At 39.6% G+C, this 23,152-nt stretch overlaps 1 protein-coding gene across 1 annotated transcript in view; it reads right to left on the reverse strand.

The window, feature by feature from the left end:
• The window catches only part of MTPAP (mitochondrial poly(A) polymerase), a 39,478-nt gene that overhangs the window by 7,055 nt on the left and 9,271 nt on the right, over positions 1-23,152 (reverse strand). The window contains exons 4-6 of the mRNA NM_018109.4: positions 19,948-20,172; positions 9,569-9,780; positions 5,536-5,762 (exon numbers count right to left, since the gene is read on the reverse strand). Coding sequence (NP_060579.3) covers positions 5,536-5,762; positions 9,569-9,780; positions 19,948-20,172 — 664 coding nt within the window. The remainder of the gene's footprint in view (positions 1-5,535; positions 5,763-9,568; positions 9,781-19,947; positions 20,173-23,152) is intronic.

A 23,152-nucleotide genomic window follows, 5' to 3' on the forward strand; every position in this document is an offset into this window, starting at 1 on the left:
GCCTGGGCAAGAGAGCAAGACTCCATCTCAAAAAACAAAACAAAACAAAACAAAACAAATTTAAGTAAATTTCTACTCTATTCTTTATTTAAATCACAGATTTTATAAATGATTGAATAATTATGACTGAATGATTAAATAACGATTTAATCTATAATTTCTTGTCTATGATTTAATGATGTTAATTTCACTATGGCATAACTAATCTCAAATCTTTTTATCTTCTTTTAATGGAGTTATATTTTAAAAAAAGATTTGAGACTAGTTATGCCACAGTGAAATTAACATTACATTTAATTTAGCATACTAGAATTATTGTCTTTCAACAACCCAATGATTCCTAATCAATTTTTGAGGTAATCAGTTTTCTAACAGTAGATGGAAATGTAGGGAGTTCCCCCATCTTTCACCAAACCAAATTTCAGCACTACCTCTAGTCAATACTTAATTTACATCTCCAATTCCATTCTTATCATCTTCATACACGACACAAACTGAATGCTAACTAAAAAAGCTTCAGGTAATTTCTAAAATGTAGCACTCTAGACTAACTGGAATTCAGTAATTCAGCAAAACAAACTCAATAACAGCACGTTAGACTCAGATATTCACCTTTCCTACTAGTATTTATATCTTAAGAGGTAATCATTTTCATAAATATACAACCACCATGAAATCCCTGGCCCACACTATCTGCAACAGATACTATGCTGTTTTCAAGAGCAAATTCCCACTCTTCAGAAATCTCATCAATGGCTACTTCCTATCTGAAAGCATTTCATAATTCCAAACTGGTTTTCCATCCTTTTTGTTCCATTCACCATTTGACTTATCTGACTGCATTGTGACTGTTTGTATGCTGTCCACTCCTCTGCCCCAGTCAGGAATTACAAAGGCCACTGTCCTATTCATTATTGCCCAACTCCCCACCACCGACCTGCCCCCAATGAGCATCTAGCATATAGCAGGTATATAATCAATAATCTGGATGACTGCTGATATTTTAATTTTTTTTTTGAGATGGAATCTGGCTCTGTCACCCAGGCTGAAGTGCAGTGGCGGCGTGACCTTGGCTCACTGCAACTTCCGCGTCCCGGCTTCAAGTGATTCTCCTGCCCCAGCCTCCTGAGTAGCCGGAACTACAGGCGAACACCACCACACCCGGCTAATTTTTATATTTTTAGTTAGAGACAGGGTTTCACTATATTGGCCAGGCTGGTCTCAAACTCCTGACCTTAAGTGATCCACTCGCCTCGGCCTCCCAAAATGCTAGGATTACAGGCGTGAGCCACCGTGCCCGGCCCTGATATTTGACTTTAAATGCCTATAATCACCAGAGAGATAAATAAGCCTCCTATAAATTTATCTCCCATTTTTTGTGTTTTTTGTCATTTTTTTGTCAAGACCTGGTTACCTGCATAATTTCTCAAAAATTATTCTAGGTTTTAACATTTTAATAGCACATTTTACGTGCTCTACTATACAATTTATAATATGTTGAAGGAGCTATATAAAATGTATGTATGTATATATATTTCTACTTAGATCTATTTTTAAGGAACCTGAGCACATGTTTTACTATTTCAAGTAATTAACAGTGTATGTTTTTTTGTGATGCAGTGTCAGTCACATATATTGATGCTCTTTTAGCTGCTGTGTCTTTTTTCAGGAATGAATCTTCAATTAAAGCACTAAGCACAGAAGTAAATGTAACAAAAGTAGCAAAGCCAGAAAGCATGGAAAACACAAGAAAATGAGACATATGAGAGAACACAGTGGAGATTATAAGAAAACACAAATAAACAGGGCAATTCAAGAGGAACCAAATATGAAAGTTAATATCATGGTCCATCTTGCCCAGTACAAACAGCCCTCAACTTTAAAATGTTATCCAATCATTTTGAAATCTACATAGTGAACTCCTACTATGAACCCAATACTATTCCGAGAACAGAAGACGCAGAGGTGAAGCAGACAGCTAGCCCTAGAAAAGCTTGACAATGCTGAGGCAGGCACATAAAAGAACTACAACAATCTAACAGTTGTTACAATACAGGTGTGTACCAAGAGCTTGGAAACCAACAAAGCACTACCCACTGGGAAGCAGAGAGGACAGCAAGAAAAGACCTAACAGATGAGATCCTGTACTAGGTTTGTCTGTCTTCTCTGGCTTAATCTTGAGATTCTCCATAAAAAAAAGCGGGGTGGCTGGGAGGGGGAGGCTGGGAGAAGGCCATTTCAGGCAAAAGCATGGAGCAATGAAAAAAAGCACAAAACATCAGGGATCATCAAGGAGTTCAAGAGTGGCTAAAGCTCCCAACTGGTATACAGGAATCAACGTAAAAGAAGAGGATAAAAAGGAAGGTGATAAAGGGCCCTGCATACAATGTGAAAAAGTTTGGTCTTTAGCTTAGCTTAGGTTCTAAATAGTAGTTTACAAAATCCTAGAAGTTCTGGAAGGTATTCTAGGAATTCATGTTGCCTTCTATTAATAAACAAGCAAGGAAGCAAATAAAATATTTTTTCTTTTAAAAAAGAACAAATTGATTATTTGTATATCAAATGAGAGGTACAGCTTAGAAGAAATGAAATGATTGTACACAAGATTCAGGTCACTTACATGATTAAACACCAAGTACTCAATATGGTTTTGATTGTTTCACAGTTTAAAATTGTTTTCTTCCTTAGGTTTAATGTCCACCAAAGTTGAACTACTGGTCAAAATTAGAAAGTATAAAAACCATGGATTTTGGAGGGAAAAAAAAGGAAAAGGAAAATATTGATAAATTCTCCTCAAAATGATCTTCACCAAATTCTTAATATACATTAATCTAAGACAAGTTCTTTTACAGCAACTTCAAAAACCATAGGTGATGGAAGGCAAAAAGTGTATTTTGCTTGGCATTTATTGGCAATTCGCACCTACAATGTGCTATATGCCGAGAAGCAATTGCAAAAACTAGCCTGAAAAATTCTCTTACCGTATTTAAAAACTACTGCAAAAATTTAAAAACAATCAAATTTGATGTTTCAAGTGAAATATTAAAGAATTCCAAGCTAGTTTTGCCTGTTTTGATGCTATACGATGTGAACATATTTAAATGTATTTTAATGTAGATTTGGAATTAAAAACTCAACAGGTCATTTAAAATCCCAGCACTTGGGGAGGCTGAGAAGGATCGCTTGAGCCTAGGAGTTTGAGACCAGCCTGGGCAATATAGTAAGACACCATGTCTACAAAAAGTTTTTTAAAAAATTAGCTGAGTGAGTGGTGGCACAAGCCTGTATATCCCAGCTATTGAGGAGGCTGAGGTGGGAGGATCACTTAAGCCTGGGAGGCAGAGTTGCAGTGAGCCAAGATTGCACCACTGCACTCCAGCCTGCCTACAAGGTAGAGCACAGTGGCTCACGCCTGTAATCCCAACACTTTGGGAGAACAAGATGGGAGGATCCCCTGAGCCCAGTTCAAGTCCAGTCTGGGAAACATGGCGAGACCCCGTTTCAACAAAAAATTAAAAAATTAGCCAGGTATGGTGGTGCATGCCTATAGTCCCAGCTATTCAGGAGGCTGAAGTGAGATTACGTGAGCCCGGGAGGTCGAGGCTATAGTGAGCCGAGATTGTGCCACTGTAATCCAGACTGGGCAACAGAGCAAGACCCTTTCTTAAAATAAATAAATAATAAATAAAATTTTTAAAAAAATAGTGACCATTTTTAAAAAAGATAATAGAAAGTTACTGAAGGACTGCAAAAGAGGGTAATACTATCATATGTGTTTGTGAAAATCACTCTCTTAACTAAGAATAGATTGGTGGGAACCAAACTTGAGATAAGGAGGAAAGACAACATAAGCCTTCCCAGGCAGAGGACAACAGGGCCTTAACATGGGCAGGGGTACCAGTACTTGTAAGACTGAAGGGAGCAATCAAGATGCTTAGGAGTAGTCTACCCCAAGTTCAACTTTCTTCTGCTCCTCCTTTTACAGCTTCTACTGTTTCTTAGTTTCTGAACTCCCAAAGTTCCGTTATTTTTCCCCACGATGGTTTCTATGAGAGTAGCATTAAGCACCACTGCACACAGCAGGAGTGGAAAAGGAAGTGCTACTTACAGGTAGTTTAGTGGTGAAGATCTGCCCATATCTTATGTATGGCTTACCTCTCCATTAGATTGTGAGTTATCTGGGAACACTGTTCATACCCCCACTACTCCAATAACACCTGACGCATAGGAAGTAATCAGTAAATACTGAATGAATGACACTAAGGGATGAAATGAGCACAGATATTGATGCTGCCCTTTATTTTAATCTCAAAAGTGAGATAAGTGACCACCACTCTACCCCACTGAAAACTTCCCATTTTCCCTTAACCTATCAAATCTAGCTTTATTTTATTTTATTTTATTTCATTTTACTTTATTTCTTTAGGCTAGTCAAGTGAAGCAGTGAGAGTGGAGAAGGAACACAGAAATTTGTAACTGGTTGTGATCAATTAGTTGTAAACACAAATCAAGCTTTTTTTAAGGTCAATTTCAAACAATATCAACACTTACAGTGTTAACAGGAAGAGATCACTTCTAATATGGATAAAGGAAGGTAGCATGGAAGAAATAATTTAGACTGGGAGAAGAGAAAGCAGATTCCAGGCAGAAAAACAGTGTGAACAAAAAGCTAAGATGAAATGTTCCAAGGGTAATCACAGCACTGGCTGGAATGTGGGACACATAAAGAGGAGTAGGGAAGAGCATGGAAAACTGGGCCGTGTCTAGAGAGCTAAAGATTTTAAACACCAAGCTATGTAAATAGTTTGCCTCTTAAGGTCATTTTAAACAGGAAGATTCAAGAAGGCACTTAATCGAATTATCAGGCAGCAATTATGTAAGACGGGTAGAAGACAGTATGCATTTGTGTGTATGTACCCCTTAATTATCTTCCCTTTAGCATTTACAGTTTCAAGATTTTATAACATAACTTCTCCAGCAGGCCTCAGCAAGGCTGAGGCACAAGAATCACTTGAATCTGGGAGGCATTTATAAAATCATTTATAATACAAACAATATAGTATGTCAAATTTAAAATAATGCACCTAAGACTGCTTATATGCTTTTCATTAAAAACACATTTAGAATCTTTGAAACATCACGAAGCAGTTTTAGTATCTCTAATACAAGTCTAAACATAAGTTCAGATTTGAAAGTCATCTCTGAGACTGTGATCCAATCAAAAGTTGTATCTGAACAAGTTGTATCTGAAAAAGGTCATTCTAGACTTGGTCAACTAGGGGAGAAGCTCCAGCTATCTCACAACTGCTGTAAACAACCTTGCCAACTGATACAAAGAAAACAGAACTCTCAAAAAATGCTAAAGGCCCTAGCTTCCCAAATCATCTGCTCTCGTGACTCCGGTAGACTTTAAAAAAAAGTCAAGACAAATTTTATGACTAATAAACAAATAGACGGGACTTTGGTAACACATGGTAATTATATTTACTCATAACATTGGAAAAAGAAAATGGAGAAGTTTCTTTCTAGTCTTACCTGCTAGGGTTTTTAAGGAATCTAGTGTTGGAAGAATAGGGGGTGATCTTCTCTGGAGAAAAAAGATGACCATCATTGTAAGGGAGAAATTTGTAATCCATGCACCAGGAATACTACTTGTTAGTGAATGTGCTCGAGCCCAGCACCGTACACTGAACACCAAGGCTCTCACTCTTGAGTCTAGGGCACCATATATATAAAGGAGTTCGGAACTTGTCAAGGCAATCCTTCAAAAAATAAAAATAAGAAAAATGTTCAAATCCCCAAATTATAAACCAAGGGTAAAATTAAACTCAAACCAAGAAACACATCTAAATATCCTACTATATCTGAATGTATTCAGAACATCATTAGGTAATCAAAAGCATTATGAATTTGCAATATAAAATTTAATATGAATGGCTGAATATCAAATACATTCATTCCCATTAAAACATCCTCTTAAAATTGATAATTAAAATGTAAGCCGGGCTCGGTGGCTCATGCCTGTAATCCTAGCACTCTGGGAGGCCGAGGTGGGCGGATCACTTGAGGCCAGGAGTTCAAGGACAACGAGGTGAAACCCCTTCTCTACTAAAAATACAATAATTCAGCTGGGCGTGGTGGCGTGCCCCCGTAATCCCAGCTACTCAGGAGGCTGAGGCATGAGAATTGCTTGAACCCGGGAGGCAGAGGTTGCAGTGAGCTGAGACCATACCAGTGTACTCCAGTCTGGGAGACAGAGCAAGACTCCGTTTCAAAAAAAAAAAAAAAAAAAAAAGAAAGAAAATGTAGATCTAGGACCAGGCGTAGTGGCTCATGCCTGTAATCCCAGCCCTTTGGAAGGCTGAGGCGGGCGGATCACCTGAGGTCAGGATTTGAGACCAGCCTGGCCAACATGGTGAAACCCTGTCTTAAACAAAAATACAAAAATTAGCTGGGCGTGGTGGCGCATGCCTGTAATTCTAGCTACTTGGGGGGCTGAGGCAGGAGAGTCACTTGAACCCGGGAGGCGGAGGCTGCAGTCAGCCGAGAAAGCGTTATTGCACTCCAGCCTGGGTGTCAGAGCAAGACCCTGCCTCAAAAAAAAAAAAAAAAAAAAAAGAAATAAAGAAAATGTAGATCTAGAACTCAGAATATGTATGTATTTATTTATTTGAGACGGAGTCTCGCTCTGTCGCCCAGGCTAGAGCGCAATGGCGCGATCTTGGCTCACTGCAAGCTCCGACTCCTGGGTTCACGCCATTCTCCTGCCTCAGCCTCCCAAGTAGCTGGGACTACAGGCGCCCACCACCACGCCCGGCTAATTTTTTTGTATTTTTAGTAGAAATGGGGTTTCACCGTGTTAGCCAGGATGGTCTCAATCTCCTGACCTCGTGATCCACTCGCCTCGGCCTCCCAAAATGCTGGGATTACAGGCGTGAGCCACTGTGCCCAGCCTAGAACTTAGAATTTTTAAATCAAAGTTTCTAAACATGATTTAAATAATATGTAAAACACACAAAGGCGCTTTATAATTATTAATAAATGGCTGGGTACAGTAGCTCACACCTGTGATCTCAGAACTTTGGGAAGCTGAGGTGGGCAGATAGCTTGAGCCGAGGAGTTCAAGACCAGCCTGGGAAACATGACAAGACACTGTCTCTACAAAAAATACAAAAGTTAGCTGGGTGTGGTGTCGCACACCTGTAGGCCCAGCTACTTGGGTGGCTGACGTGGGAGGATCACCTGAGCCCAGGGAGGTAGAGGCTGCAGTGTGCCAAAATTAAGCCACTGGGCTTCAGTCTTGGCGACAGAGTAAGGCATCATCTCAAACACACACACATATATATATATAAAATCGATAAAGACAAAAAGGCATTTATTGGCTGGGCACTGTGGCTCACGCCTGTAGTCCCAGCATTTCAAAGCAGGAGGATGACTTGAGCCCAGGAGTTTGAGACCACCCTAGGTAACATAGTAAGACCCTGTCTTTATAAAAATAAAAAATGTATATATAAAAGAAAAACAAAATTTTAAAAATTTAATTAAAAAAATAGTCAGGCGTGGTGGCATGCACCTGTAATCCTAGCTACTCAGGAGGTTGAGAAAGGAGGATTGTTTGGGCCCAAGAGTTCGAGGCTACAGTGAGCTATGATCACACTACTGCACTTCAGCCTGGGCAACAGAGAGAGACACTGTCTCTAAAAAAGTAAAAATAGAATTAAATTAAATTAAAAATATTAAGCTCCTACTGATCAAAACGTGTCTTGTAATTTCTCCAAGAACCAACAGATGGCATAAAAAAATAATTTAACAGCATCAAGTTAAAACTGTCTCTAAAACTGTCTTTAAAAAGAATAGAAGAAACAAGGCCAGGCGTGGCGGCTCACACCTGTAATCCAGCACTTGGGAGGCCGAGGTGGGCAGATCACCTGAGGTCCGGAGTTCAAGACCAGCCTGGCCAACATGATGAAACCCTGTCTCTACAAAAATTAGCCAGCATGATCACATGTGCCTGTCCCAGCTCGGAAGGCTGAGGCAGGAGAATTGATTGAAGCCAGGAGGCGGAGGTTGCATTGCAGTGAGCCAAGATTGCGGCACTGCACTCTAGCCTACGCGACAGAGCAAGACTATGTCTCAAAAAAAAAAAAAGAAAAAGAAAAAGAAGAAACAGCAACTTAGAAATTCATTGTGATTAAGTGTTTTATGTATGAAAATGAAGCTAAATTAAGCTAAAAATAAATATCAAAAAGTATAAGGTATCTTGATATAAAGAAAAAAACATAATTACAAAGATAAATGTAATTTTGTCCTATTTTACATACTACAAAGAAAATATAATAATGATAGAAAGTACAGTATTATATTTTTATACTAAAATTTGTCAAGAAATCACAGACTTTACTCCATGAGTTTTACTTGAGAGAAAGTCGCAAGTACTTATGATTGGCTTGTGGGTGAAGATTCGAGTTTAATCAAAACTGCTCTAGCCTTGATTTTCTGAATCTATTTTCAGTAATGATTATTTAGCTAACAAATAACATAGTGAAATGAACTCATGCAATGAGAAGTTAAGAAATAAACTTCTCAATTAAGAAATTTTCCCTACTGTGGGCCAGGGTCAGTGGCTCACGCCTGTAATCCCAGCACTCTAGGAGGCCAAAGCAGGCAGATCACTTCAGGTCAGGAGTTCGAGACCAGCCTGGCCAACAGGGTGAAACCCCGTCTCCACTAAAAAAACAAAAATTAGCCAGCGTGATGGCATGCATCTACAATCCCAGCTACTTGGGAGGCTGAGGCACAAGAATCGCTTGAACCCAGGAGGTGGAGGTTGCAGTGAGCCGAGATCGTGCAGTGTGCTGCACTCCAGCCTAGGCAACAGAGTAAGACTCCGTCTCAAAAGTAATAATGATAAAAAAATGAAATAAAGAAATTTTCCCTGTTGTGAAACCAGGAAAAGTCATCAGTACAAAAGAACTTTTCCCACCCCACTTTTTTAAGCAAACAAATCACTAGGATAATACAATGCACATAGGCTGAACAAAAGCCATCCGGTCTTAAGCTCTTCCAACCACTTTTGGACCTAAGTAAAGGGGACATTTGTCTAGTACACAAAGTTGACTATATATCTGGAGGCAATTCAAAGGTCAACTTCAAGTTGGTATTTTATTTTCTAAGTATTCTTAGAAGGCTTGTACTATAAATAGGCATCTTTCTTTCTTATTTTACTTTTTTCTTTTTTTGCCATCAGAAATTTCTCCTAAAAAATAGGCATCTTTCACACTACACACTACCAGGCTGCACAAGTAAGAATAATGAAATACATTTCTTCTCAGAGGTTAGATATGTGAACATTTTAACACAATATCCTAACACTGTTTAGGAACACCAAATTATCAACAGGTATAACGTAAGAGAAAAGATTACTTACTTTTCAATCCAAGTGATAAATTTTTAAAAAATTATTATTCAAGCATGTTTAAGATTACAAAGCCACTGTTTCTGTGTGAGAAACACTAAGCTAATATATCAGAATATTCATATTTAAAATAATAAATGTAAGCGGTCATACCTATTGTTCGTAGTCAAATCACACTGAAATCCGGAGGCCTGGTGTGAGAACCTCACGAGCGGACACCGGGCATTTAATATTTTTTGCACACCCACACAGCCAGGGCCAAAGTGGTCAAGGCACTCTCCTAACACAGACAGGATCTTCTGAGTTGCAATTCTTTCTGAAGGAACATTTTTCACTTGAAATTCCATCAGAAAATTTCCTGAGATCTGAAAAATAAACACATTTCTAAATAGGAGCTTTTGGTAAAAAAAACAATTTTTTAATAAGCTTTTGTAAAAGAATGCTCTAAATCACTGCTGGAAAGCAAAACAAAATAAGAAAAAAACAACCCACAAAATAAAAACTCTTCAAGAAATCACAGCCAAAAGCAAACTTAAAAGATCCCCAGTTGCCTTCTGTTTCTCCAGAATATAGAGAAATACAAAGCACTAACTTGAACGATCACTGGTTTTTGTAATTAACTTATGAACTACAGTATAAAATGAATCATAAATACTATGCATAGAACCATTCACCTTATAAATTCAGTGAACATATACTTGCCCCTTCCCAGTTGACCATTATATTTTAATCTATGCTATAAACCCACAGTAGTATGGAAGTACAGGCACAAGAGCTCATCAGTAGAAGAAAGAAGACTAGATGGTGTAAACAGGCTTGTACATAGGAATTTAATATTTAAGGCCACAAATTACTAGGGGAAAATTCCTATTCAACAAATGAGTTAAGTGGCCATCAAAAAAAATAAACCAGATCCTTTGTTTAATACTAAAACTCGCCGGGTGCAGTGGCTCACGTCTGTAATCCTAGCACTTTGGGAGGCCAAGGCGGGTGGATCACTTGAGGTCAGGAGTTCAAAACCAGCCTGGCCAACATGGTGAAACCCCATCTCTTTTAAAAATACAAAAAAAAAAAAAAAATTAGCCAAGTGTGGTGGCGGATGCCTATAATCCCAGCTACCCGGGAGGCTGAGGCAGGAGAATTACTTGAACCCAGGAGATGGAGGTTGCAGTGAGCCAAGATCACACTACTGTACTCCAGCCTGGGCAACTGAGCGAGACTCCATTTCAAAATAAATAAATAAATAAATAAATAAATAAATAAATAAATAAATTACTAAAACTCAAGTAAATTCCCTGAGCATGGTGGCTCATGCCTGCAATCTCAGCACTTTGGGAGGCAGAAACAGGCAGATAACTTGAGGTCAGGAGTTCTAGACCAGCCTGGCCAACATGGTGAAACCCCGTCTCTACTAAAAATACAAAAATTAGCCAGGCATGGTGGCATGCACCTGTAAACCAAGCTACTTGGGAGGCTGAGGCAAGAGAATCACTTGAACCTGGAAGGTGGAGGTTGCAGTGAGTCGAGATCACACCACTGCACTCCAGCCTGGGTGACAAAGCAAGACTCCATCTCAAAAAAAAAAAAAAAACTGAAGTAAATTCAACATGGATCAAAGACTAAAATGTAAAAGGTGCATCAGTAAAGTACCAGAAGACAATGAGTGAATGCTTTTACGATCTTAGAATAGCGAAAGATTCTGTAACCATGACATAAAATTAGAGAAGACACAAAAGAATATGATTGCATAAAAAATTAAAACCACCTTAAGGCAAAGCATCCATTCACTACTAAAGAACAAAGCAAATAACACACATCATACAAACGGGTAATTTACGACAGTTTTAGGCAAACGAAAGGGAGAAACCCATCAAATTCTAAAAATGGGCAAAAAAGACAAAAAAATTCACAGAAAAAATAAAAATGGCTAAAAACCATGATAAAAGTTGTGCATGTTTTCTAGAAACTAAACAGAAATTAAAACAGAAATGAGATTTTTTATTTTTCAGCCTGGTAAAGACAAACAGGTTAGTGACCAGAACTAACGCGTATGAGAAAACATGTATACACTGTTGATGGGAGTGTAAACAAGGGACATACTTCTTGTAGAACTTGTCCGTATCTACTGAAACTTGTATACGTTGGCTAACTATTAAAATGGTTAGAAATTACGTCAAAGGAATATTTGCATAAATGAGCCAATTTATAAAGATGTTCACTCACTGCAGTACTATCCATGTGGTATACACCTTTTGGGAGCTGTATCTAGTTTAATAAGGTTCCCTATCAACTATTCCCTCTTCTAGAATTCATTCCTCCTAAAAGGATGAAGGCTCCAACAATGTTTATCATGGACATCTACCCCCTTCCTTTCAGCTGAATGGACTGGGCAAAGACAGCTGATCTAAGCACTGTAGGAGTGTACCCCACATTCATTTGGAGATCTCTACTGGGAACTGGTTACTGGGAACAGGAACTAAGTAAGGTTCAGAGGCAACCATGTGGCTAAAATATCTAACTCAGAAGCTTTGGGGCAGCCATATTTACACAAGCATGAAAAAGAAAAGAAAATCAGTGCGGGTAGGGAGGAAGGAGTTAAGGACAGAGAGAGAGAGCAATAAATGAAGGAAAAACATGTAGACAGAAACAGAACACATCCTAGGTTGTTTTGTTGTTGTTTTTGAAACAGGGTATCATAGGCTGCCTGTGGTGGCTGTAATCCCAACACTTTGGGAGGCTGAGGCAGGCGGATCACTTGAGGTCAGGAGTTTGAGACCAGCCTGGCCAACATGGTGAAACCCCATCTCTACTAAAAATACAAAAAAAAATCAGCCAGGTATGGTGGTGCAAGCCTGTAATCCCAGCTACTCAGGAGGCTGAAGCAGGAGAATAGCTTGAACCCAGGAGGCCAAGGTTGCAGTGAGCCGAGATTGTGCCCCTGCACTCCAGCCTGGGTGACAGAGTGAGAATCCAAAAAAAAAAGGGTATCACTCTGCCACCCAGGCTGAAGTGCAGTGGTGCAACCAAGCTCACTGCAGCCTCAACCTCCTAGACTCAAGCAATCCTCCAGCCTCAACCTTCAGGGTAGCTGGAACTACAGGTACACACCACCACACCTTGCTAATTTTTTTATTTTTAGCAGAGATGCGGTCTCCCCCAGCCTATGTTGCCCAGGCTGGTCTCGAACTCCTGAGCTCAAGTGATCCTCCCGCTGCAGCCTCCCAAAGTGCTGTCATTACAGGCATGAAGCACTGGGCCCGGCCACTTCCTGGGTTCTTGATGGTTTACACTTCTTACTTCTAGTCCTTTCCTAAGACTCATCCATATTCCTGGCCCTGGGTTCTATGATGCCTCCTCTACTTCTTTAATTGTTTAAGCTAACTCGTGTTATTTCTCTAATGTATAATCAAAGAATATTAACTAATATATAGTTGGCAATAAAGAGGGGAAAAGTTACCTAGTGGTCCAGTGCCTAGGATTTGGCACTTTCACTGAAAGAGGGAAAAAAAAAAGATACCACCCTCATTATCCAACAAAAAGAGGACTGGTTAAATAAATTATGGTACATCCATTCAATGGAGTATTTTGCGGCCACTGAGGGCGATACAGTAGATTGAACTGCCAAGACACTACTAATGGGGGAAAAAAAATGAAGTTAAAGTTATTATCGGTAAAGATTATGTTCTGGGTTTTTTCTTTTAAAAAAAAAAGCTTTTCTATACGCACAGGAAAAAAAATCCAGAATATATTAAATTATTCACCGGGTTATCTCTGGAGGCAGTGTGACCAACAGAGATACTTATGTATTTCTATGTCTATCATTTTATAATCAGAAAAAAATAGATTAAATAAATCACTGTATACAATCCCTACAAATAAACATGTGGCATTTTCTCTACTGATCTGTCATTTAGATATTTTTATATTAAAAGGACTAAAAATAAACTTCCTTTAAAAAATTAAAATTTCAAGATTCTTCCTTAGCCATTTTGTTATAATTTACCTTCATAACCTAGTTCCCTGTCCATTCTCTTTTAAAATACAAACACACACAATTTATGTTAGGAATAGGAATCCAAACAAAAGCAAAGACAGATTGGGGGTCTATCTCAGGATGGCAAAAAGAGGTCAAGTGAGAAAGCAGTACTAGAGTACATCAGGGAGGAGTCATGGTGGACTCAATCTCAGAAGCAACAGAAGGATTAGAATCACTCAGAAGAAAGGTGACAGAGATTTTTTAAATTAAGTACTATAAATGAGAGAATAAAATCCTTGAGGTAACAGAAGTGAAAATGACAAGAAAAAATAGCTCTGATTAATGGAACTGGGCGCAGGAAAGTGGTGAACTGTGAACCATGAGCAGGAGTGTGGTAGTTATTGAAGCTGCTCACCATATGTTCTGTATCACCTTTCTGGCATTTGGAAGATCTCATGTTCTTGCCCCTCTAAGGTTAAGCAAACTCATGTGATTTGCTTTGGCCAGTGAAATGTGAGCAGAGGTTTTAAGTGTCACTTCCAGGCAGAAACTTCAAGAGCCGATGCTCAATTCTTCACTTTGCCTTTCCACTATTCAGTGATGGTAGCGCAGGTGGAGATGAAACACTGGTCAGCCTGGGTGCTTGAGCTACTACAATGTCTAGAGTGCCCATGCTGACCTGCTGTGACATATAACCTCAGCAACAGATAAATAGGTGATGTGTTAAGCCACTGAGATCTTTGAGATATGGGAGTTGTTTGTTACCAAAGCATCAACTAGCCTAACCTGACTGACCAAAAATGCAAGCCACGAAGAATCACAATGGACTCAGTACAGAAATAAAACACTGCCTTTAGGGAAAATTTAGATGAAAATTATACTTATTATGAGCAAAGGAAAGATATTCTCAAAAATGACTGTCCTCTATTAAATAAATAAAAACTAGAAAAACTGTTCACAGACAGTTAGATCCATAAATACTTCCTATTAATGTGTGCTATTCCTATAGCACTATCTGTTTATTAGCAAATCATCTAATAAAGAAAAAACAGAAGTTAAGCACACTGTCCACAGCAATCATTCAGATAACAGAAAGCAGTACTCAAGACTTAGGCACTAATTCTTACTTTTATTACCTAAGTCCTCTAAGATACAGAACCCTGTAAGAAAAAGCAAAACTGAAGGAAAGACCAAAGGCAGATTTTAGTTTAGGATTTTGTGCTAACATGATCTTTGTGATAAGTCAGGTGACATATTTCACATGTAACCAACTTTTACACACACTAAAAAATTTATGAACATTAAAATCTACATTTCAGTTAGTAAATAACTTTCCTTCTTTTTTAGTCTTGCTCTGTCGCCCAGGCTGGAGTGTAGTGGCGCAATCTCGGCTCACTACAACCTCCGCCTCCTGGGTTCAAGCGATTCTCCTGCCTCAGCCTCCTGAAGAGCTGGGATTACAGGCACCCGCCATCATGCCCGGCTAATTTTTGTTATCTTTGTAGAGACGGGGTTTCACCACATTGGCCAGGCTGGCCTTGAACTCCTGACCTCAGGTGATCCGCCCACCTTGGCCTCCCAAAGTGCTGGGATTACAGGCGTGAGCCACCACGCCTAGCTGTAAGTAACTTTTATTCATTCATTAGCAAATAATTTTAGTCCCTATCGTGCATGGGATATCATACATAGTGCCATAAGACATGCAAAAAAGTCTAACACACTCTTCCTAACTCCTCTCAGATTGAGTTGAGGAATAAAACACACACACAAAGAATTATAAAGCAAGGTGTAGTGTGAAAAGATATCAAAGAAACAAAAGGTAAGAGAAGAGCTCATGAATGCAGAAAGTAGTCAAAGAAGGTTTTATGAATCTGATGAATGTAAGAGTACTTGTATTTTTTATTGTATTTTATTTTTAATATTTTTACTAGCAAAGCTATTATAATCTTGAACAAAAACATATTTCCAAAAAATCCTTAAATAAGCACATGTATGTTTATAACAACACTTTCCTAATTTAAACTGACACAGGAAATGCCAAGTTCTGGTTATTTCTGTGTATGTATGACAGAGTCTTGCTATTTCGCCCAGGCTGGAGTGAGGTGGCGTGATCTCGGCTCACTGCAACCTCTGCCTCACCGGGTTCAAGCAATTCTCCTGCCTCAGCCTTCTGAGTAGCTGGGATTATAGGCTCCCACCACCACGCCCAGCTAATTTTTGTATTTTTAGTAGAGACGGGGTTTCACTACATTGGCCAGGCTGGTCTCGAACTCCTGACCTCAAGTGATCCACCCGACTTGGCCTCCCAAAGTGGTAGGATTACAGGCTTGAGCCACTGTGCCCGGCCCAAAATGCCTAATTGTTTAGTAAGACTGGAGCACTGTCTTTAAAACATCTTTTTCTAAATACCTCTATACCTCAGAAATCTAAGAGTAAGACTCAACTAAAAGTTTCTAGGCCAGGTGCAGTGGCTCACACCTATAATCTCAGCACTTTGGGAGGCTGAGGCAGGAGGATCGTTAGCCCAGGTGTTCGAGACTATCCTGGGTACCGTGGTGAAACAACGAGTCAATAAGAAAACAAAAATTAAAATGGCCGGGCGCAGTGGCTCATGCCTGTAATCCCAGCACTTTGGGAGGCAGAGGCAGGCAGATCACGAGGTCAGGAGATCGAGACCATCCTGGCTAACACGGTGAAACTCCATCTCTACTAAAAATACAAAAAATTAGCTGGGCGTGGTGGCGGGCGCCTGTAGTCCCAGCTACTCGGGAGGCTGAGGCAGGAGAATAGTGTGAACCCGGGAGGCGGAGCTTGCAGTGAGCCGAGATGGCACCGCTGCACTCCAGCCTGGGAGACAGAGCAAGACTCTGTCTCAAAAAAAAATAAATTAATTAATTAAAAATAAATTTAAAAAAAAGAAGAAAGTTTCTAACTCCTGCCTGTTTCCACCAAAGAAAAAATTTTGCCTCCCACTTACATAAGAGTAAAATTATATTGCTGTTGATGGTGGTCAACATTTCAACACTTACTCTGTGCCATAAGCACTGTTCTAAATGTTTCACACATATTAACTCAATAAATCCTCTCAAACATTGTATGAGATATGTGCTATAACACCATTCCAATTTTATAGTTAGGACAATTGAGGCAGAGAGAAGGTAAATAACTTACCTAGGATCACATTACTAGTAAGTAGAATTAAAATTCTGCAGCTTGATGCCAGAGCCCAGGCTTTTTAAACCATTACAACACACTGTTATGCTCCTTGATTATTCAGTTACAATCCTTTATTTAAGACAGCCTAATGTAATTTAAGTGCCACTGCCAGGAACTTAATATATTTTCAAGTACATGTTAGTCTTAATAAAACTGATCCAGGCCGGATGCGGTGGCTTACGCTTGTAATCCCTATAATCGTAGCACTTGGGGAGGCCGAGGTGGGTGGATCACCTGAACTCAGGAGTTCGAGACCACCCTGGGCAACATGATGAAACACTATCTCTAAAATAATTAGCCGGAAGCAGCAGTGTAAGCCTGAAGTCTCAATCACACGGGTGAGGCAGGAGAATTGCTTGAGCCCAGGAGGCAGAGGTTACAGTGAGCTGAGATCATACCACTGCACTCTAGCCTGGGCAAAAGAGTGAGACCTCATCTCAAAATAGTAATAATAATAATTATTATTATAATAAAACTGACCCATTTAATTTTTATCTGTTTCCTATGCCTGGCTAGCTTCAATTCAATAAGCATATGGTGAGCAAATTAAGTACACAGTACTGTGGAATAAGTATATGAACAGACATGATTCCTATCTGCCCAAGTTTATTATATAGTGGGAGATACATACATCAGCTACTCACTAAACATGACAGAAGAAATTTGGAGACAGATAGAAATACCTGCAAGATACTACAAAAAAGGAGTGGTTAATTTTGGCTGGAGTGGAGAAAAAAATCAAGAGCGGTTTCAAGAAGGTAGAATTAGAACTAGACCTTGAAAGCTGCATTAGGAATGAGTCGAGGAATGGAGGGAAAGTGCACTCCTGAGTGAAGGCACAGAACAACTGTTTGATCATTATGATATTTACAAGTGCCTTCTATTACTGGAAATGGTAATTAAACAATGTGGTTGGGGCCGGGCATGGTGGCTCAAGCCTGTAATCCCAGCACTTCGGGAGGCCAAGGTGTGTGGATCACCTGAGGTCAGGAGTTCCAGACCAGCCTGGCCAAAATGGCGAAATCCCATCTCTATTAAAAACACAAAAATTAGCCGGGCGTGGTGGGGCGTGCCTGAAGTCCCAGCTACACAGGAGGCTGAGGCAGGAGAATCACTTGAACCCAGGAGGCAGAGGCTGCAGCGGGCCAAGATCATGCCACTGCACTCCAGCCTGGGTGACCGAGTGAAGCTCCGTCTTAAAAAAAGAAAAATAAAAACAATGTAGTTGGAAAATTGGGTATGTAACAATATATAATGGGAAATGATGACTAAAATTAATTAAGACACAGAGGATTTCAATACTATGCTAAAGAAAAGAAGCATTCTAACTTTGTGGGAAAATTCAAACTGTGAGTGAAGGTAACTCCAACAAAGACTGAAGGTTAAAATATCAAGGCATGACACAAGGAATAAGAAGTGGAAACAGAATGTAGTTACAATAATCTAAGTGAGAGTTTATAAGGGACTGTGAAACTATGAATACAAAAGATAACAACTTAGAAGCAGAATTAAAAGAATGGTTAGCAAAGCTAAAATGCCACTAATTAACATGTGAAACATATAGAACTTTTGTAAGAACTTAGAAAGAACATTTGTGGGAAGATGAATATAAGTTGTCTCAAAATATTGTTTGAAATATCAACTGGACATCCACATAAAGTCTGATGTTCACTACTAGTTTGAAAGATGTAAGGAAAGATACAGCCATAGAAACTAAACATTTTATAAAAACACATAGCCTTGGCCGCGTGTGGTGACTCACGCCTGTAATCCCAGCACTTTTGGGAGGCTGAGGTGGATGGATCACCTGAGGTCAGGAGTTCAAGACCAGCCTGACCAATACGTGAAACCCTGTCTCTACTAAAACAAAAAAATTAGCCGGGCATGGTGGCCCCTGCCTGCAGTCCCAGCTACTTGGGAGGCTGAGACAGGAGAATTGTTTGAACTTGGAAGGCGGAAGTTGCTGTGAGCCTAGATCACGTCACCGTACTTCAGCCTAGGCAACAGAGCAAGAGACTCTATCTCCAACAAAAAAATAAAAATAAAAATAAATAGCCTTTTCAACACTGTAATTAAATTAAGACATCATTTATATTGTTTGGGAGGATGGAAGAGACACTGGTTAATTTTACCATTAGACATCGTGTTAAAGAGAACATAAATGGAAGAAATAATATCCAAACTTGAAAGAGAAAAAAAGGGTAAGGAGGAAAGTGCAGGAATAAAGCAGGAGTAATCCAATAAAAGGAAGAAAGAAAGTGAAAAGCTGCTGGGAAGTGGCCCATGCCTGTAATCCCAGCACTTTAGGAGGCCGAGGGGTGTGGATCACCTGAGGTCAGGAGTTCAAAACCAGCCTGACCAAGGAGGTAAAACCCCGTCTCTACTAAAATACAAAAATCAGCTGGGCATGGTAGCAGGCGCCTGTAATCCCAGCTACTCAGGAGGCTGAGGCAGGAGAAATCACTTGAACCCGGGAGGTGGAGGTTGCAGTGAGCCGAGATTGCACCATTGCACTCCAGGCTGGGCGACAGAGTGAGACTCAGCCTCAAAAAAAATAAATAAATAAAAGAAAGTGAAAAGCAAAAGCACAGAAAATAGGAAATAAAAAATAAAACAGGAGAAATTAGTCCAAGAATTATCAGCAGTAACAATAAACATATTGAACTCAAAGACTGATAGACTGGAGTAAAAGCATACTGCTATTTATAAGAGATACACCCAAACTAAAATAACATATATAAAGGCTGAAAATAAAGAAACAGAAGACATGTGAGACAACTACCAAGCGGCCATATTAACAAATAAAATAGAACTTAAGAAAAAAGTATTTATAGAGATGAATAAAGCATGTATGAGGGATATAATAATAAAACAATCTAATAAGGAAATATGATGATCGTATACCTATATGTAGCTAATATAGCCTTTGGATAAAACAAAAATCAAAAGAATTTTAAAGAGAAATTAACAAAACCAAGAATCATGAGATGTAAAAACATCTCAGTAACTAGATCACAAGATTAAAAAGAAAAAATTAGTTAAGATACATAATTTGAATAACACAATAGGTAACTTTGACTTAACTGAAAAATTTCTGAACACTTGAAAACAATTAACTATTTGATTGCATATCTACAGAATATTCACAAAAATGATCACATAGTAGAACAATACAAAGAAAGACTTCACCAAAGAATCAATAACAAATACACCTTATTCTTTAACCACAATGTTTAATAAGTTTAGAAATCAACAGTTCTATTTTATTAAGTTCAAAGATTTTTCTTTTTATACTTTCTTAACTTTACATGATTATAGTGGTCAAAAGAAATAGACTTACCTTGTGAGCGCTGAGGTTTCTGGTTTCATCTAGATCCAAAAACATGTCCAAATCACATCCTAACTTCCCAAAAGTGTTGACTGAGGAGCCAAAGGGTCTGACTATGCAGTCTGGAAAATACGCGGCGGCCATGTCTTCAATAAGAGAACAGGTGAGATATCGGAGCTTAGTGTTCTCCTCTGTTAGCTGGAACTCCTTCAAGAGAGTGTTCAGCTGATCGTCTATCTAGCTAGCCGAAACAAAACCAACAAAATAGAGAAAAAGTACAGGTCGCATAAAAAGTTACCATTTTACTTTCAAAGATTTGGTGGCGTTGAAGACCTACCTTAGAAATATGCAAAGCCTGGCGCAGTGGCTCACGCCTGTAATCCCAACATTTTGGGAGGCCAAGGCAGGTGGATCACCTGAGGCCGGAATTTCGCGACCAGCCTGACCAACATGGAGAAACCCAATCTCTACTAAAAATACAAAATAAGCCGGGCGTGGTGGCGCATACCTGTAATCCCAGCTACTCAGGAGGCTGAGGCAGGAGAATCGCTTGAACCCAGGAGGCAGAGGTTGTGGTGAGCCAAGATCGCACCATTGCACTCCAGCCTGGGCAACAAGAACAAGACTCCGTCTCAAAAAAAAATACTCTTTAAAAACCACTGAGAAGGCCAGGCGCGGTGGCTCATGCCTGTAATCTCAATACTTTGGAAGGCCAAGGCGGATCATATGAGGCAAGGAGTTTGAGATCAGCCTAAGCAACACAGCAGGACCTCGTCTCTATTTCACTAAAGAAATAAATTATATAATATTTTAAAATTTTTAAAAAGCTCTGAGGAATGCCACTAGCAAAATGAAAGTTGGCTAGAATTAAAACTTTGTAAGCGATGAGTATAAAGTATTGTTTTAAGAAAATGAAAGTAGTAAAGTACTCCAGAAGAGGTTAAAACAACCACGTTAGACATTTTAAACTCAAAGGGATGAAAGACCAATGTTAAAGGGCAAGAAAAACTAGAAATACTCAAGTAATGAAGGCCCAAGACCTCTCAGTTTCTCAGAATAACAATCCTGTCTATCCACTAGAAGACTGGCATTAAAATGATCACATACTGAAATTGTGTACTGGAGTATCTGAAGTGAAAAAAAATCGTAACTTCAAATGCTCTTATTTGAAACCAACATTGAAAATATCAACTGGCTGGGCACAGTGGCTCACACCTGTGAACTACTGGGAGGCCAAGGCGGGAGGATCGCTTGAGCTCAGGAGTGAGACCAGCCTGGGCAACGTGATGAAACCCTGACTCTACCAAAAAAAAAAATACAAAAACTAGCTGGGCATGGTGGAATGCATCTGTAGTCTCAGCTACTCAGAAGGCTGAGGTGGGTCACTTGAGTCCAGGAGTATGCAGCTACAGTGAGCTGAGATTGCACCACTGCACTCCAGCCTGGGCAACAGAGCAAGACTCCACCTCAAAAAATAACGTAACATAACATAACATAACAACATAACATTAACATAACAACATAACATTAACATAACATAACATAACGTAACATAACTGAACTGAACTGAACTAAGCATTCAACTCAAAAATAATAAAAGAGGCCGGGCTCGGTGGCTCATGCCTGTAATCCCAGCACTTTGGGAGGCCAAGGCAGGCAGATCACATGAGATCAGGAGTTAGAGACCAGCCTGGCCAACGTGGTGAAACCCCAAATCTACTAAAAATACAAAAAATTAGCCAGGTGTGATGGCGCGTGCCTGTAATCCCTGCTACTTGGGAGGCTGAGGCAGGAGAATCGCTTGAACCTGGGAGGCGGAGGTTGCAGTGAGCCACGATCAGGCCATTGCACTCCAGCCTGGGCAACAAGAGCAAAACTCTGTCTCAAAATAATAATAATAACAATAAAAGTAAAGGAAATAGATTAGAAGCAAAAATTTTCTTATTAGAAAATTAAACCTTGAAAATAATATTTTGATAAATAAAGCCATGAGTTGATTCTTTGGAAAGACTAGCAAGGTCTGGCAAGTCTGAGTAAGAAACACCAAGACAGGCCAGGTGCAGTGGCTCACGCCTATAATCCCAGCACTTTGGGAGGCCAAGGCGGGCGGATCACAAGGTCAGGAGATCGAGACCATCCTGGCTAACTCAGTGAAACCCCGTCTCTAATAAAAATACAAAAAATTAGCCGGGCATGGTGGTGGGCGCCTGTAGTCCCAGCTACTTGAGAGGCTGAGGCAAGAGAATGGCGTGAACCCAGGAGGTGGAGCTTGAAGTGAGCTGAGATCACGCCACTGCACTCCAGCCTGGGCGACAGAGCAAGAGTCCGTCTCAAAACAAAAACAAAAACAAACAAACAAAAAAACACCAAGACAAATACAAACAATATTTGAACACAGAAGAGACAGAATCTTGGGCCGGGCGTAGTGGCTCACACCTATAATCCCAGCAGTTTGGGAGGCCGAAGTGGGCACATCACCTGAGGTCAGGAGTTCGAGACCAGCCTGGCCAAAGTGGCGAAACTCCGTCACTACTAAAAATACAAAAGTTAGCTGGGTGTGGTGGTGCACACCTGTAGTCCCAGCTACTTGGGCAGCTGAGGCATGAGAATTGCTTGAATCGGGGAGCAGTTGCAGTAAGCCAAGATCATGCCACTGCACTCCAGCCTGGGCAAGAGCGAGACTCCATCTCAAAAAAAAAAAAAAAAAAAGAGAGAGAGAATCAGAAAGAAGACATTTTAAAATTGACAGAAAACCATGTACAATTTTATGTCATTATGCTGGAAAGAGAAAGAAAACCTAAACTGTTCAAAAGGCCGAAAACTTCAGAAGAATGTGGTTACCTGTAAGTACAAATGGGGCATGGCGGGGAAGGAGCAGACAAGGATTACTATCACTTTTCATTCAACATATCCTGTAGTTTGAATTTTTAAAAGCAATCCCATTTATTTATAGAGATATTAAAATTGTAATAAAAATATTAGCACGACAAATGTAATAATGCATTTTTGTAAATACACCTTGACTAAGTAGGGTTTATTCTGTGAATGCAAGAATGACTTGACATGAGGAAATCTACAGTGAATCTACAATTCACTACGTTAAGACATTAGGAGGGGAAAGAAAAAGACATTAGGAACCATATACAATCTCAAGACCATATGCCAGTCATCAATACCATCTCAAATGTCAAAACTCAACATCTACTCAATGTGTTGA

The sequence above is a fragment of the Homo sapiens genome, chromosome 10, assembly GCF_000001405.40.
Source record: "Homo sapiens chromosome 10, GRCh38.p14 Primary Assembly".
Taxonomy (NCBI): domain Eukaryota; kingdom Metazoa; phylum Chordata; class Mammalia; order Primates; family Hominidae; genus Homo; species Homo sapiens.